Source organism: Homo sapiens, chromosome 1, assembly GCF_000001405.40.
Source record: "Homo sapiens chromosome 1, GRCh38.p14 Primary Assembly".
Taxonomy (NCBI): domain Eukaryota; kingdom Metazoa; phylum Chordata; class Mammalia; order Primates; family Hominidae; genus Homo; species Homo sapiens.
The window spans coordinates 32,045,927-32,058,737 of record NC_000001.11 but is presented as its reverse complement, the minus strand read 5'-3'; the positions used below and the strand labels follow the sequence as shown (position 1 = coordinate 32,058,737).

At 44.5% G+C, this 12,811-nt stretch overlaps 1 protein-coding gene across 2 annotated transcripts in view; it reads right to left on the bottom strand.

Moving 5' to 3' along the window:
• The window catches only part of KHDRBS1 (KH RNA binding domain containing, signal transduction associated 1), a 46,983-nt gene that overhangs the window by 2,113 nt on the left and 32,059 nt on the right, over positions 1-12,811 (bottom strand). The window lies entirely within an intron of this gene.

Sequence of the window (12,811 nt, the reverse complement as noted above, 5' to 3'; positions counted from 1 at the left end):
TCTGCTTCCTTGGCTCAAGCGATCCTCCTGCCTCCACCTCCCGAGCAGCTGGGATTACAGGCATGTGCTACCATGCTCGGCTAGACCTTTCTTATTTCTTGCCTAGACTAGCAAGTTTCTTAACAGGGCCCCATAACCATTCTCCACTCATCAGCAAGTTTAAAAATCAGACATTGAATAATTTCATTTTCCACACCCCCCCTCCTCCCATTCAAGTTGTCTTCAGTGGGATGTTAGGACTGCCATGTGTTAAGGGACTCTCCTCATATTCTATTCCTTTCAACCACCCTGTGAATTGGAAACCAAAACTCTATGATAAACTTTGCTTTTTTAAGGTCAGCCAGGTGCAGTGGCTCACACCTGTAATCGTAGCACTTTGGGATGCCGAGATGGGAGGATTGCTTGAGGCCAGATTGCTTGAGGCCAGAAGTTCTCCATCCTGGGCAACATAGTAATACCTTGTCTCTACAAAAAATAAAAAAATAAGCTGGGTGCAGTGGCCCATGCCTACAGTCCCAGCTACTCTGGAGGCTGAGGTGAGAGGATGTCTTGAGCCCAGGAGGTAGAAGCTGCAGTGAGCTATGATCAATGCAGTGAGACCCCATCTGTTTTTTTTTTTTTGAGACAGTTTCACTCTTATTGCCCAGTCTGGAGTACGGTGGTGCGATCTCGGCTCACTCCTACCTCCGCCTCCTGGGTTCAAGCAATCTTCCTGCCTCAGCCTCCTAAGTAGCTGGGATTACAGGCGCCCGCCACCACACTCAGCTAATTTTTTGTTTTTTTGGTACAGGTGGGGTTTCACCATGTTGGCCAGGCTGGTCTTGAACTCCTGACCTCAGGTGATCTGCCCGCCTCGGCCTCCCAAAGTGCTGGGATTACAGGTGTGAGCCACCGCACCCGGCCCCTGAGACCCCATCTCTCTCTCTCTTTTTTTTTTTTGAGATGGAGTCTCGCTCTGTCGCCCAGGCTGGAGTGCAGTGGCGCGATCTCAGCTCACTGCAAGCTCTGCCTCCCGGGTTCACGCCATTCTCCTGCCTCAGCCTCCCGAGTAGCTGGGACTACAGGCACCCGCCACCATGCCCAGCTAATTTTTTGTATTTTTAGTAGAGACGGGTTTCACTGTGTTAGCCAGGATGGTCTCGAACTCCTGACCTCGTGATCCGCCCGCCTCAGCCTCCCAAAGTGCTGGGGTTACAGGCGTTAAGCCACCACGCCCGGCTGACCTCATCTCTTTAAAAAAAAAAAAAAAAAAGAAAAGAAGAAGGTCCAGCTAGGTGTGGTGGCTAACACCCATAAATCCCAACACTTTGGGAGGTTAACATAGGAGGACCAATTTTGCCTAGGAGTTGGAAACCAGCCTGGGCAACAGATTGAGATCTTGTCTCTACAAAAAATAGAAAAAATTAGCCACCTGCCTATAGTCCCAGTTACTTGGGAGGCTGAGGTGGAGGATCACTTGAGCCTGGATCACTTGAGGGTGTAATGAGCCATCATATTGATAAGTGCTCCAGCTTGGATGACAGAACAAGACCCTGTCTCAAAAATAAAAATAAAAAAGGTCCAGATTCGTACCTCGGCTTCAACTTGCTTCAGTCCTATCCTCTGCCTATAATGTGCTGCTCTATGTCCTTTCCCCAAGCCCTCTGCCTAGCTAAGTCCTCCTTTATATGTTGGCTTAAACATCATTTCCTCAAGGAAAACCACAGTATTAGGTTGTATACCCTCATTGCACCCTGTTCTTTTCTTTGTAGAACTTAACACAATTGAAATTATGTTATTTATGAGATTATCTGTTTAGTATCTGTTTCCACAAATAGACTATAAGCTCCATGAAGCCAAGGACCATTTTATATTGTTCACCGGCCACTGGATCCCCAGTGTCTAGCACATAGTAGGTGTTCTAATGTATAATAGTGAATGTATTTTTAAAAATAATGAAAGGAGACATTTGTACTGATTTCTAGAGAGAAGCTTAGAAAGAATCACATCAGAGCATAAGATATTTCTCTTTCTCAAAGGCAGATGCAGAATTTGTTTGCTACATTCCAACCCCAGAGAGCCTGAGACCTGAGGAGCAACCATCTTATACCTAAAGCTAGGCCATGAATAGGAACCATGAAGGCTGCTGGAGTTAGAAGACCCCTGGGAATAATTAGCTCTGTATCTGAACCCAAACTCTTCTATCTCAAGTTTTCACACACATCACAGTGCCTAGAAGAAAGAGACTGGATACCCTGAGGTGGGCACCAGAGGTTGACAGGGGAACAGCCAATTCAGGCATCTTAATGCAATATTAAGATCAGAAATAGTACCCAAATTTCTGGCAAGGTGCCCTATTTAGCTGATTAATCTGGGCTGATAGACTGGCTGTGCCTCACACTCTATCTAGAAACATCTCAACTAAGCTGTCTTTTTTAAGGAGTCCCTGGACAACCCCCGCCCCCACCCCCAATTTGCCCTGAAAGTGACAAGGCCTCCTTGAAGCAAGAAGCTCCCCAAGGTCTAAGGATGGGGTTAGCTTGTGTACATGAGAACTCCTATCGGCCCATTCCCTGCCTGAGATGCAAAGACAATCACCACAGTACCGGCTAGGAATGAGAGGTACAGTCACTGGTGAGAGGCTAGTGAATCTGTGATCAAGGAATGCTAAGAAGCTAAACCTTAGCAGCACGGCTATGAAATTCACATCCCTTCCAGATACATGTCTCTCTCCTTTTAGAAGAGAGCTGTATACGAAAGCAGAAAGTACATTCGAAACAAACAAAAAAACAGAGAGTGCTACAGTTTGCAGAACACTAGATGAGACTGCATCCTCAGCTTCAGAGCCAGAATAGACAATAGAGTGGAAGACCTCCAGTCCTGGGACTGGAAAATGGATTCTAGAGGTCCGTGAACATTCTTCCCCATTACTTCCCAAAAAGGGTTGAGTCTCCTGCTTGAATGCAGCCTCCTTAGGAGCCGAGAGCAGCAATCAGGCTACAATAGGACTAGGGTGCAGTGCCCCCATAGGCTTGTGCTCCTAAGGGGCCTTGAAGAGCCAGACCTATTTTCTAGGCCAGGAAACAAAAGAACGGGTAGTTAAGGCAGTGTTGTGCACTTCCTCCTCTCCCACTAAGCAGCTGCTGTCTCAGACAGCTGTTTCCAGCCTGTCTGCTCAATGCTATTAAATATTCATCAGATGCTTGCTAGCTTTAAACATGCAACGACTATTAATCTGGGGAGCAGGAGGTACATGTGGGTCTCAAGAGAAGAGGGGAGGGCTCATAAGGATCCAACTCTTCTTTTTTTGGAGACGGAGTCTTATTCTTGTCGCCCAGGCTGGAGTGCAATGGTGCGATCATGGCTCACTGCAACCTCCGCCTCCCAGGTTCAAGCAATTCCCCTGCCTCAGCCTCCCAAGTAGCTGGGATTACAGATGCGCGCCACCACGTCCGGCTAATTTTTGTATTTTTAGTAGAGGTGGGGTTTCACCATGTTGGCCAGGCTGGTCTCAAACTCCTGACCTCATGATCCGCCCGCCTTGGCTTCCCAAAGTGCTGGGATTACCGGCGTGACCCACCGCACCCGGCCCAGGATCCAAGTTTTTAAACTTCAGGAATCTGGAAACCAAGCTAGGAGTACCAGTCCTATACACCAAAGCCAGGAACTACTTTGGTGTAAGCTGATCATGCGGCCACCCTAGGTACAGAGAAGACCAGCAGGCAGCTAAGGAGGAACATAAAGACTTCAGTCTAAACTCCATCTCTTGGACTCTGTGGTTATCCTAACTTCTAGACATACATTTCTCACTCTGTATACCATGGATAATCATTGCTTCACAGGGTTGTTTGTGAGAATTAAATGAGATACTGTATAATTCTAGGGTGTCCAATCTTTTGGCTTCCCTAGGCCACACTGGAATAACTGCCTTGGGGCACACATAAAATACACTAACGACAGCCGATGAGCTTAAAAAAAAATTGCAGAAAAATCTCATAATGTTTTAAGAAAGTTTATGAATTTGCGTTAGGCTACATTCAAAGCCGTCCCGGGCCATAGGCTGGACAAGCTTGCTGTATATGATACTCTCAGCACAGAATTAGAACATAATTAAGAGCTTAAAATGGAGGCAGGGACCTCATCCATTGAGGACTTCTAGTGGTGAGCAAAGCCTTGCTTAACAATCCGTTAAGAGCGAAGTTTCTTTTAGTGGACAGTCAAGAGTTTTGGTTTCCATTTTGCAGGGTGGGCGAAAGGAATACGACACAAGGAGATTCCCTTAACATAGGTAAGTCCAGACATCTCATCCTCAAACGACTCAAGTACCAGACAGGAGAGATGAGTCTCCTTTCTGAAAAAGGCAGGAATTAAAGGCCTTCAGGCAGGAGGGAAGGCGGGAGGACAAGAAGGGGAGAATATCCCCTTCACTCTCCCACAAAGGAGTAGTGCCACTTTATAGAAGGCTTCCTTCCCTTATTTTCCCTACCTTGCCGGTACACTGGTAAACAGATGTGATGTAAGTCACTCTCATGCTTAAGGCATTAAATAGCTCAAACTTTAGAATAAAGTCCAAACCCCTTGATTAATATGTAGCTTCCAAAATCAGCACTAACTTATTCTTCCAATCTCTATTTATAGCTAATATTTGAGTGCTTACTGTGTGTCATGTTAAATGTTTTTTTTTGAGATGCAGTTTTGCTTTTGTTGTGTGCAATGGCGCTATCTTGGCTCACTGCAACCTCCACCTCCTGGGTACAAGCGATTCTCCTGCCTCAGCCTCCCGAGTAGCCAGGATTACAGGCATGCGCCACCACGCCCAGCTAATTTTTTGTATTTTTAGTAGAGACGGGGTTTCTCCATGTTGGTCAGGCTGGTCTCGAACTCCTGACTTCAAGTGATCCGCCCACCTCGGCCTCCCAAAGTGCTAGGATTACACGTGTGAGCCACTGCACCCGGCCTGGTGAATGTTTTATATGCATTAGCTCACTTGATCTTCCCAAGTGTCGAAGTAAATGATATTATCCCCATTTTACAAATGATGAAATTGAGACTTGAAACTAAGGCAGAATTTGAAAGTAGTCTGCTTACACAGGGTATGGTGGCTCATACCTGTAATCCTTACCACTCTGGGAAGGTGCTTGTGGCCAGGAGTTTGAGTCCGGCTTGGGCAACATAGAGACTTGTTTCTATAAAAAATAAAGTCAAGTGGGCATGGTGGCCCATGCCTGTAGTCCTAGCTACTTGGGAGGCTGAGGCAGGAGGACAGCTTGAGACCAGGAGTTCAAGGCTGCAGCGAGCTATGATCACACCACCGCACTCCAGCCTGGGTGGCAAAGCAAGACCCCATCTGTAATTAATTAATTAATTTAATTAGTCTGCTTAAAGCTATAATAAAGTGTTATTATGCTAAGCTATCCATTTGTCTGCCTGGCAAATTTTGATTATCCTTTAAATTGTAACTTAAATGCTATCACCTTTCTCTGGCACTCCCTAAGCCTTTCTCAGGCAGCTCCTCCAGGCTCCCTGGTATTCAGTTCTGCAAGAGAACATGATGATACACTATTGCAACTATTTTTTAATTTATTATTTTATAGGTATATTATTTTTTGAGACAGAGTCTTGCTGTCACCCAAGCTGGAGTATAGTGTCATGATCATGACTCACTGCAGCCTTGACCTCCTGGGCTCAAGAGATCTTCCTGACTCAGCCTTTCAAGTAGCTGGGACTACAGGCGTGCACCACCACATCTAGCTTTTTATTTTTATTTTTTTTGTAGAGATGGGAGTCTCACTATGTTGCCCAGGCTAGTCCCGAACTCCTGGACTCTAGCGATACTCCTGCCTTGGGGTTACGGGGTGAACCACCAGGCCTGGCCTGTTTAAAATTTTCTGGTCTCAGTTTCATCATGTGTAAAAATGGGATAATAACATCTACCTCACTGGTGGAGAAAACTACATGGCACAGAGTAAATAGTCAATGCATGTCTGAATTCACAAAATGCGGTAATAACATGACTTTTTTTTCAGGATGCATCTTGTACTTGATGTGAAAAGAAACCACTCGGCTGGGCGCAGTGGCTCACACTTGTAATCCCAGCACTTTGGGAGGCCGAGACGGGTGGATCACGAGGTCAGGAGATCGAGACCATCCTGGCTAACACAGTGAAACCCCGTCTCTACTAAAAATACAAAAAATTAGTTGGGTGTGGTGGCGGGCGCCTGTAGTCCCAGCTACTCAGGAGGCTGAGGCAGGAGAATGGCATGAACCTGGGAGGTGGAGCTTGCAGTGAGCAGAGATCGCCCCACTGCAATCCAGCCCGGGCGACAGAGTGAGACACCGTCTCAAAAAAAAAAAAAGAAACCACTATGTCAGTTTAATTGGCAGCTTTTTTTCTTTCTTTCTTTTTTTCTTTTCTTTCTTTCCTTTCTTTCTTTACAGCACTTAAAGACACAATTTACAATAAGCAGTCTCTTAGGGTCAATGAAATTTGGAATTACAGAAGCAGCAAGCTTTTAGCACAGAGAATAGACTTTGCTGTACAAAAATGTTGATATGCACCCTGTCCTAATGTGCTATGCAACCATGGTAAATTACCTCACCTCTTCTAGTATCAGTTGCCTAATCTATAAAAATAGGGACACACAGTAGGCATTCAAATTGAGCTCTTCTCTTTCAGCCAAACAAAGCTGCCTATTTTCCCTATCTCACTTTCTTCTTCTTTTAAATGTGGTCAAGATCAGTGGATGGCATAGACTGAGAATAAAATGAGGGAAAAAAATGAAAATGACTACTTACTAGTAGTACTGCCAGCAAACAGCAGCCTCTGTAGGGTCATACAAAGTACAGGAACATATCAAGAAGACAGTGAGCCCATGTGTTGCCTAACACACTCTAATCCACATTTTTGGTGGCCACAAAGTTCTAGCAGGTGTTAATGCATCTCTAACTTCATTCTTAGCCTGGGACAGGAGGTGGGATTTGGTGGAAGAGAGTATAAAGGTGGGACAAACCCTAAGCCTGTATCCGTAGGTAAGGAAGGGTCAGAGTATTCCCTCAATAGTAACTGTCACTGCCAAGTGTCCACCCTGGAGACTCTATGGAAACTGTGGTGGGGGAAGAGAGGGCTAGGAAGCGAGGAAGTTGATGGTGGGAGAAGGGCATGCTGGAGCGCTGCCTCTGAACCTCTGGAAAACCACCTATGACCAGGCATGGCAGCTAGAACAGCCTCATTCCCACTTTAGCAGCCTGCAGTATAATACAGAAATAAAAGCATGCTTTGTAGTCACCCATTCTTGGGATCAAATCCTAGCTCTATCACTTACAAACTCTCAGTGATGTAAAAATAATCTGATCAGCTATTATGTATTATTGAACAGCTACTGCCAGAAATTGTATCAATAACTTTTAAGTAATAACTACTTCAAAAGGCAGTACACCTACATACATCTGTGGTTAACTGATTTTTGATAAGGGCGACAAGACCATTCAATGAAGAAAGAATAGTCTTTTCAACAAATGGTGCCGGGACAATGGGATATCCACATGTAAAAGAATGAATTTGGGCCGAGCACGGTGGCTCACGCCTGTAATCCCAGCACTTTGGGAGGCTGATGCGGGCGGATCACCTGAGGTCAGGAGTTCGAGATCAGCCTGGCCAACATGGCAAAACCCCGTCTCTACTAAAAATACAAAAATTAGCTGGGCATGGTGGTGGGCGCCTGTAATCCCAGCTACTTGGGAGGCTGAGGCAGGGAGAACTGCTTGAACTTGAACCTGGGAGGCAGAGGTTGCAATGAGCCGAGATTGAGCCACTGCACTCCAGCCTGGGTGACAGAGTGAGACTCTGTCTCAAAAAAAAATAATAATTTGAACCCCCACCCCAGGCCACACACACAAAAGTTAACATAAAATGAATCATAGACCTAAATGCAAGAATTAAAGCTGGGTGTGGTGGCTTACACCTGTAATCTTAGCACTTTGGGAGGCCGAGGTGGGTGGACTGCCTGAGCTCAGGGGTTCAAGACCAGCCTGGCCTGGCCAACATGGTGAAACCTTGCCTCTACTAAAAAATAAAAAAAATTAGCCAGGCATGATGGCACGCACCTGTAGTACCAGCTACTTGGGAGGGTGAAGCATGAGAACTGCTTGAACCCGGGAGCTGGAGGTTGCAGTGAACTGAGATCATACCACTGCACTCCAGCCTGGGGGACAGAGTCAGACTCTGTCTCCAAAAAACAAACAAACAAACAAACAAACAAAAAGAACTAAAACTAAAAAACTGAGAAAGAAACAAACAGGTACAATCCTGACCTTGAATGAGACAATAGTTTATTACCTATGACAAAAAAGAAAAAAACAGATAAACTGGACTTCAACAAAATGGAAAATTTTGGTGATTTAAAGAAAGTAAAAGGACAACCCACTGAATGGGAGAAAATATTTGCAAATCATACATCTGACAAGAGTTTAGCGTCCAGAATATATAAAGAACTTACAACTCGCTAATAAAAAGACAAATTATCCCATTTAAAAGTGGGCAAAGTATTTAGATAGACATTTTTCCACAGAAGATATATAATTGGCTAACAAGCACATGAAAATATGCTCAATGACATTAGTCATTAGGGAAATGCAAATCAAAACCACAGTGAGGTACCACTTCACACCCACTAAAGATAGCTATAATAAAGTAAATGTTGGTGAGGATATGGAGCATTTGGAACCCTCATATGTTGCTGGTAGGAATGGTACAGGCTCTCTGCAGAAAACAATTTGGCAGTTCCTAAAAAAATTAAACAGGCCGGGCGTGGTGGCTCATGCCTGTAATCCCAGCACTTTGGGAGGCTGAGGCAGGTGGATCATGAGGTCAGGAGATCGAGACCATCCTGGCTAACACGGTGAAACCCCGTCTCTACTAAAAATACAAAGAATTAGCCGGGTGTGGTGGCACGTGCCTATATTCCCAGCTGCTTGGGAGGCTGAGGCAGGAGAATCACTTGAACCCAGGAGGCGGAGGTTGCAGTGAGCTGAGATCGTGCCACTGCACTCCAGCCTGGGCGACAGAGTGAGACTCTGTCTCAAAAAAAAAAAAATAAAAAATAAAAAAATAAACAGAGTCACCGTATGACCCAGAACCCAGAAATTCTTCTAGGTATATACCCAAGAAACTGAAAACATGTCCACACAAAAACTTATATACAAATATTCAAAGCAGTATTATTCATAATAGCCAAAAAGTAGAAATAATCCAAATGCCTGTCAATGGATCAATGAATAAATGAAACGTAGTATATGCATACAGTGAAATCGCATTTAACAGTAAAAAAAAAAAAAAGAACAAAGTAGGGATACATGCTACAACATGGATGAACCTTGAAAACATCCGAAGTGAAAGGAGGCCAGTCAGCTGAGCGTGATGGCTCACGTCTGTAATCCCAAACTTTGGAAGGCCAAGGTAGGCGGATCACCTGAAGTCACGAGTTCGAGACCAGCCTGGCCAACACGGTGAAACCCCACCTCTACCAAAAATACAAAAATTAGCCAGGCATGGAGGCGCGTGCCTATAATCCCAGCTACTCAGGAAGGCAGGAGAATCGCTTGAACCTGGGAGGCGGAGGTTGCAGTTGCAGTGAGCTGAGATCGCACCACTGCACTCCAACCTGAGCGACAGAGCAACACCCCGTCTCAAAAAAAAACCAAAAAAACAAAAAAAAAACAAAAAGGAAGCCAGTCACAGAAGACCACTTATTGTATAATTTCATTTGTATGAAATCATACAGAAAGTGGTCTTCTGTGACTGGCTAAACCCTTGGACTTAGCCTTCTGGAGGCTAAACCCTTGTCATCTTTAGAGACAGAAAGCAGAGTAGTAGCCTACGGCTGGAGGGAATAAATAGATTGGTGGAAGACAGATAAAAGGCATGGGGTTTCTTTTTGGAATGATAAAGACATTTTAAATGGGCCCTAGTGATGACTGAACAACTCTGTATATACTAAAAACCACTGAATTATACACTTTAAGTGAGAGAACAGTATGGTATGTGAATTATATCTCAATAAAGTTGTTATTTTAAAATTCCGCCAAAACTCTAGACTTCTTTGCCACTAGGACAGTTATGTCTGTCCAAAAAGAATCACTTAAAAATGCTAACATGACCTTTAATTTATACTAACAGAAGCTAACCACAGGCTGCAAACTGGTAAGCTAAAGGCCACATCTGGCATGCAGCAAATGTATTTTATTGGGACCAATAGTATTTTAAAAACTTTCTACCCGGGCTGGAGTACAGTGTTGTGATCATAGCATACTGTAACCTTGAACTCCTCGACTCAAGTGATCCTCCTTCCCCTGCCTCCTGAGTAGCTAGGATAAGAGGTGCAAGCCATCATGCCCAGCTAATGCCCAGCTAACTTTTTGTAGAGACAGAGTCTGCTATGTTGTCCCGGCTTGTCTTGAACTCCTGGCCTCAAGTGATCCTCCCAACTCAGCCTCCCCAGGTGTTGGGATTACAGGCATGAGCTGCCATGCGCAGCCAAGAAAATTTTTAGAGAAGGGAAAGACACAGTAATGAAAATGATCTTCAAATACCTGAAAGGATGTTGCTTCAGAGGTCCAAAGCAGATTCAGTTTAAATTACTGAGGTACAGGTCTCATTCAAAATGAGAGATAAAATACTTAGAGCCATCTCTAATGAAATGGGCTGCTTTTGGAAGTAATGTTTCCTATGACTAGTATGAAGTACTATGTTACATGCTATAACCTGGATGAACCAAACACTATGCAAAGTCAAAGAAGCCAATTCCAAAAAGCATATATTATATGATTCCATTTATATGGAATGTTCAGAATAGGCAAACCCACAGAAAGAGTAGTGGCTGCCAACAGCTGGGGAGAGAAGGGAGTTGGGAGTGACTATTAGCAGATATAAGATTTGTTTTTAGAGTGATGGAAATATTCTGGAATTAAATAGTGGAAATGGTTGCACAGTATAAATATACTAAAAACTACTGCATTGTACACTTTAAAATTGTAAATTTTATGCTATGTGAATTTTTCCTCAAAACAGAAACAAAGGTAGAAAGGGACCAAATGAGATACTTACTAACTCTGTTAGGATATTATGATGCATACAGTGATAAATGTCAGGTATTATCATCAACTTCATTTGATGATAAATGAGGCACTGAAAGGGTTTTGTTTCTGACTAAGGTGACAAAGGCTCACATGAAGCAGAGCCAGGACAGATACCCAATCTTGCCTGTCTCTAAAGCTTACAGAATTGTAATAAAAGTTCACAGGCTGGCCGGGTACAGTGGCTCACGCCTGTGATCCTAGCACTTTGGGAGGCTGAGGTGGGCGGATCACTTGAAGCCAGGAGTTCAAGACTAGCCTGGCCAACATGGTGAAACCACATCTCTACTAAAAATACAAAAATTATCCAGGCGTGGTGGTGTGTGCCTATAATCCCAGCTACTCCGGAGGCTGAGGCAGGGGAATCGCTTGAACCCGGGAGGTGGAGGTCGCAGTAAGCTGAAATCACACCACTGCACTCCAGCCTGGGCAACAGAGTGAGACTCCACCTTAAAATAAATAAATAAAGTTCACAGGTAGTGAGTGATAGAATTTTACAGAAAACACTTGGATCAATGGGCGAAGCTACATGTCCAGAACAGGCAGAACACCAGCAGGCCTAGGTCCACAAACAGAACCTGCCTTTCCAAGCACAGTTCACAGTCCAAATGAAAGGTTTCCCCAAACTTCTAATCCATTTTTCTTCTTCAGACTACCCTAGGAAGAGTTGAGACTAAATTCTCTGCATTCAGGGATTCCCCACGCTAAATTTCCTAGCCATTCATGTGACCAACATCAAACGTAGGACTTGCCAGGTGCCCAGAATCTTGTTCAGTACATATGCCCCTCTCTTAAAGCTTCCAGATCTCTCACAGGCTGAGAGGCAGGCTTGGAAGAAAAAGAAATTCCAAGAAGCCAAATTTCACTGTGAAAGGTTCTATATGCGTAGGGCTTACCTAGTTAGGCCTTTCTCCTCAGTGTCATCCTAATCCTAACACCTCAGAGCAGAGAAAAAATCAGCCAGTTAGTTGCTTAATGGCTTCAATTAACAGGAAAGCTCACTGTTGTCACAGCCCCCAACTACACAAACCAGGGAGTCAAACTCCACATCCTTTCTTCTATACCACAATTATCCCTATGAAGGACCTCCTAAGTATAAGAAATATCCTTTCCCAGCCGGGTGTGGTGGCTCACGCCTGTAATCTCAGCACTTTGGGAGGCCAAGGTGGGTGGATCACCTGAGGTCAGGAGTTCGAGACCAGCCTGACCAATAAGGTGAAACCTCGTCTCTACTAAACAATACAAAAATTAGCCAGGCGTGGTGGCAGGTGCCTGTAGTCCCAGGTACTCGGGAGGCTGAGACAGGAGAATTGCTTGAACCCAGAGGCGGAGGTTGCAGTGAGCTGAGATTGCGCCACTGCAGCCAAGCCTGGGTAATGGAGCAGGGCTCCGTCTCAAAAAAAACAAAACAAAAGAAAACCAAAAAAACCAAAAAAAAAAAAGAAATACCCTTTCCCTAGATTAAGGACAGTATAGTATAGGATTAAGATGACAGGTTTTGGCAACAGAAATCTTGAGCTTGAGTACCAGCCATACTAATTATGGGACCCTGGGAAGTTACTTAACTTCACTAGGTCTAAGTTACTTCTGTAAAATATGGATATTACTGGACAATTGTTTCTGGGCTGCCCAGCATCCATTTCCCTTTCCTAACAACTCACCAACTGCCTTTTGAGGAACTGGTTTTTCTTACGCATGTGAC